Source organism: Homo sapiens, chromosome 19 (assembly GCF_000001405.40).
Source record: "Homo sapiens chromosome 19, GRCh38.p14 Primary Assembly".
NCBI lineage: Eukaryota > Metazoa > Chordata > Mammalia > Primates > Hominidae > Homo > Homo sapiens.
Genome location: NC_000019.10, coordinates 1,724,187 through 1,729,065, shown reverse-complemented (window position 1 = coordinate 1,729,065; position 4,879 = coordinate 1,724,187). Strand labels below are relative to the sequence as shown.

At 52.8% G+C, this 4,879-nt stretch overlaps 2 annotated features.

The window, feature by feature from the left end:
* Positions 3,117–3,616: an enhancer, noted in NCBI's record as "H3K4me1 hESC enhancer chr19:1725449-1725948 (GRCh37/hg19 assembly coordinates)". NCBI's record gives its function as "activates a minimal SCP1, AML or CMV promoter by ChIP-STARR-seq in primed H9 embryonic stem cells {active_cell/tissue: H9 hESC(primed)}" and the evidence as "EXISTENCE:reporter gene assay evidence [ECO:0000049][PMID:30033119]".
* Positions 3,255–3,354: a silencer, noted in NCBI's record as "silent region_9743". NCBI's record gives its function as "represses an Ori minimal core promoter by ATAC-STARR-seq in GM12878 lymphoblastoid cells {active_cell/tissue: GM12878}" and the evidence as "EXISTENCE:reporter gene assay evidence [ECO:0000049][PMID:35858748]".

Sequence of the window (4,879 nt, the reverse complement as noted above, 5' to 3'; positions counted from 1 at the left end):
GCACAGGCGCACACACATGCACACACACAAAACCACACACGCACACACACGAAGCCACACATGTACATGCAGGAACACAACATGCACACACGGGAACACACAGGAGCACACACGAACCCACACATGCACATTCACACAACACACTTGTCCACACACCCTGCAGCTCACTTACACACACACACACACGAAACCACACGGAGCCACGCACGCTCGCGCACACTCTCGTAGGGCTGTCGTTGAACCATTCCTACGTTGAAAACCTAACCAGCCATTTCCAAACAGCACAACCTTTGTGAAAATCCAGCTTTTTCATCTTGCACACGAATCGGCCAACCTCCGCCTCCCTCTCCCTCCCCACTCAATAACCAGGTTAAAATAAAAATTGAATTCCAGGATCTGCTTTCAAAAATCACCCCACACAATCCGCCGGTCAATGCAACCTTCCTCAGCTGTTAGGAATTAGAAACGCAGCGGCAGAGGAAGGAGATGGAGATGTCAGGTGGAACGTTATGGGAAAAATATGAAATAAATGCAGATATCAGGGACTGTGTGAAGACCGAGGCTTACGTGCAGGACACAGAAGCTGGGAGGCCTGAGCAAAGTGGCCAGGGCTGAGTTTAGGGGGTGGAGAAGGCTACGGCCAGCGATTTTCTCCTTTTGTATTTCCTTTAAGGTGGTTACGGAGTTGCACAGAAGGTTTTCTTTTCTAAAACCACAGCGATTTGGGGTACATGTGGGATTAATGGAGACCTTTAAACAAATCTCTGAGCCCTGGACTTGGCATGGCACGTATATCAAAAGCATCATGCGTGCTAAATATTAAAACATTTACGGCCAGGCGCGGTGGCTCATGCCTGTAATCCCAGCACTTTGGGAGGCCAAAGTGAGCGGATCATGAGGTCAGGAGTTCGAGACCATACTGACTAACATGGCAAAACCCTGTCTCTACTAAAAATACAGAAATTAGCCAGGTGTGGTGGCATGTGCCCGTAATCCCAGCTACTTAGGAGGTTGAGGCAGGAGAATCGCTTGTACACGGGAGGTGGAGGTTGCAGTGAGCAGAGATCACACCACTGCACACTAGTCTGGACAACAGAACGAGACTCCGTCTCAAAAAAAAAAAAATGCACAGATCTGTCAAATAAGCCAATCTTGTTTTTCACCCTTAAAGAAAGAAGAAATCTTCTTGGCTCCACACAGGGAACCCTAGCATTTTATAAGCAGCGTCTTTATTCTGACAATAACTCTTCTTTTGACAAAGTCCAGGTGTTCATTTGAATGAGCCCAAGTGGTTGTTGGGGGATTTGCGATTTTTTTTTTTTTTTTTTTTACTAAATTGGAATGTTTAGGGCACTACCCATATCCCCTTCAAAATAACCATAAGCTTTTCTCAAGTCTGTGACCTTGACTTGGGGCTTCCCCTCACAGGGCCTCTGTGTAATGGGAGTTTCGTTTGGACATGAAGATCTCACACTGTTCCTAAGCCTTTTAATTTCAACATTGCATTTATTATTTTTAAATTATTATTATTTTTTAGGCTGGGCGCAGTGGCTCACGCCTGTAATCCCAGCACTTTGGGAGGCTGAGGTTGGAGGATCACTTGAGGCCAGGAGTTTGAGACCAGCCTGGCCAATATGGCCAAACTCCGTCTCTACTAAAAATACAAAAATTAGTGGGACATGGTGGTGCGTGCCTGTAGTCCCAGCTACTTGGGAGGCTGAGGCAGGATAATTGCTTGAACCCAGGAGGTGGAGGTTGCAGTGAGCCAAGATCGCACCACTGCACTCCAGCCTGGGCGACAAAGCTAAACTCCATCTCAAAAAAATATATATATTATTTTTTAGAGATGGGGTCTCGCTCTGTTGTCCAGGCTAGTCTGGAACTGCTAGGCTCAAGCGATACTCCTGTCTCGGTCTCCCAAAGTGCTGGGATTACAGGCGTGAGCCACACCACACCTGGCCTATTATTATTATTTTTAATTAATTTTTGTAGGCAGAGTCTTGCTCTGTCGCTCAGGCAGGAGTGCAGTGGTGCGATCTCAGCTCACTGCAACCTCCGTCTGCTGGGTTCAAGCGATTCTCCTGCCTCAGCCTCCCGAGTAGCTGGGACTACAGGCATTCACCACCATGCCCGGCTAATTTTTGTACTTTTAGTAGAGACGGGGTTTCTCCAAGTCGGCCAGGCTGGTCTGGAACTCCTGACCTCAAGGAATCCACTGCCTTGACCTCCCAAAGTGCTGGGATTACAGGCGTGAGCCACCGCGCCTGGCCCCTTCCTATTACTATTTTGAAATTTCATCTTTTTAATTTTAGATTCAGGAGTACATATGCGGGTTTGTTCCATGGGTATATGGTGTGATGCTGAGGTTTGGGATATGACCGATCCCGTCGTCATCCAGGTGCTAAGCATGGTACCCAGGAGTTTCTCAGCCCCTGTCCCCCACCTTCCCCGATTTAGAAGTCCTCAGGGTCTATTATTCCCATCCTCGTGTCCATGAGTACCCAATGTTTAGCCTCCACTGATAAGCGAGAACATGGGTACTTGGTTTTCTGTTTCTGCTTTCATTCGCTTAGGATAATGGCCTCCAGCTGCACGTATGTTGCTGTAAAGGACACGATTTCGTCCTTTTTCGTGGCTGTTCAACATCGCATTTCAATTTAAGGAACGGTCCCTCCTTATGGGGTGGTGGGTTCCAGGCTGCGACGGTGTGGGACCCAGCAACGCGGGAAGATGTTTTAGCTTTGCTTGGAGGGTGCAGATGTCAGCACGGCGTGGCAGAGAGAGTCTGAAGCCCTCGAGCCACACTCTCTGGGCTCCAGGCCCCTTGCACCTCATAAACCCTTTGCGCCTTGGGTAATCCCCGGGCCCTCGTGAGCCTCAATTTTCCTGTCTAGGGAATGGAGAGCAGCCCGCCCAGGGAGATGGCCGGGGCGGCGGTCAGGGGGTCCGTGCATGTCCGGGAGGAAGGTCCTGGCCGCCCCTGCCCCCACCCAGCCGTACCCTCGCCCCCCGCCGCTGGAACCGTGCGTCCCCAAGATAAGAGACGGGTCAATAAAGTTTTCTTCCAAGATGGTCCAGCTCTCTCCATCCTCTCGGGCCCCCTCCCCGCGCCGGGAAAGGTCAGATGCGAGGCGGCATCGACCCGCGCCCGGAGCCAGGCCCCCGGCCACGCCGAGCCCGCGCTGACCAAGTGACCACGCGCGGCCGGGGCCCGGGCCGCCGCCAGCCAATGGGAGCGCGCCGGGCAGAGGTTGCCGGGCAACGAGCCGGGGGGGCGGGGTCGGGCGGGTGCGGGGAGGCCCGAGCGCGGCCGATCGATCCCGCGGCCCCGCGCATGCGCCCCCGCGCGGCCCGGAGGGGGCTCGGCCGGCGCCCAGCTGTCATCGATCGCCGCGGCCCCAGGCACTGAATAAGCTCAGGAAGGGCTTCCGGGAAGGGCCCGGTGCTCCCGCCCCGCCCCATCTCTCCGTAATAGTAATGGCAGCAATAGCGTCGGCAGCATCGCCTCCCGCCTGCGGGACCGCGCCGCGGAGCCTCCCCCAGCACCCAGGCCAGGGCTTCATCGGGGTCCGCTGTATCCTGGAGGTGGCCGCAGGGGCCCCACAGTCGGGATTCCAATCCCGTTCCCACCACCCGCTACCTCGGGGCGGGGGGAGGCTGTGATCCCAGCGCTGTGGGAGTCCGAGGCGGGAGGATCGCTTGAGGCCTGGAGTTAAGAGACCAGTCCGGACAACATAGCGAGACCCACCCCACCCATATCTACAAAAATTTGCCAGGCGTGGTGGTGCCTTTGGTCCCAATGATTTGGGAGGCTGAAGCAGGAGGATTATTTGAGGCCAGGAGTTGGAGACCAGCCTGGGCAACATAGCGAGACTCCGATCTCTACAAAAAAATACAAAAATTAGCCAGGTGTGGTGGTGCCTTTTGTCCCAATTATTTGGGAGGCTGAGGTAGGAGGGTCACTTGAGCCCAGGAGGTCAAGGCTGCAGTGAGCTGATATCGCACCACTGCACTCCAGCCTGGGTGACAGAATGAGACCCTGTCTCTAAAAACAAAACAAAAAACCCCACAGATGTATTTTTCTACAGTCTAGAGGCCTGAAATTTGAAATCAAGGTGTGGGCAGGGCCATACTCCCTCCTAAAGCTCTAGGAGGCCGGGCGCCATCGCTCTTGCCTATAAAAACAGCACTTTGGGAGGCTGAGGTCGGAGGATCACTTGAGGCCAGGAGTTTGCGACCAACCTGAGCAACATGGCGAGATCTCATCTCTACAAAAATAAAAATTAGAAAAATAGCCAGAGTGGTGAGTTCCTGTGGTCCCATTACTTTTTCTTTTCTTTCTTTCTTTTCTTTTTTTTTTTTTTTTGAGATGGAGTTTCGCTCTTGTTGCCCAGGCTGGAGTACAATGGCACCATCTTGGCTCACTGCAACCTCCACCTACTGGATTCAAGCAATTCTCCTGCCTCAGCCTCCCAAGTAGCTGGGATTGTAGGCATGCACCACCACACCTGGTTAATTTTGTATTTTTAGTAGAGATGGGGTTTCACCATGTTGGTCAGGCTGGTCTTGAACTCCTGACCTCAGGTGATCCGCCCACCTCGGCCTCTCAAAGTGTTGGGATTACAGGCATGAGCTACCTGCCTGGCCATGGTCCCATTACTTTGGAAGGCTGAGGCAGGAGGATCTCTTGAGCCCAGGAGTTGGAGGCTTCAGTGAACTATGATTGCATCACTGCACTCCAGCCTGGGTGACAGAGCAAGACCCTCTCTCTCTCTCTCTCTCTTTTTTTTTTTTTTTTTTTTTTGAGACAGGGCTTTGCTCTTGTTGCCCAGGCTGCAGTACAATGGCACCATCTTGGCTCACTGCAACCTCCGTCTCC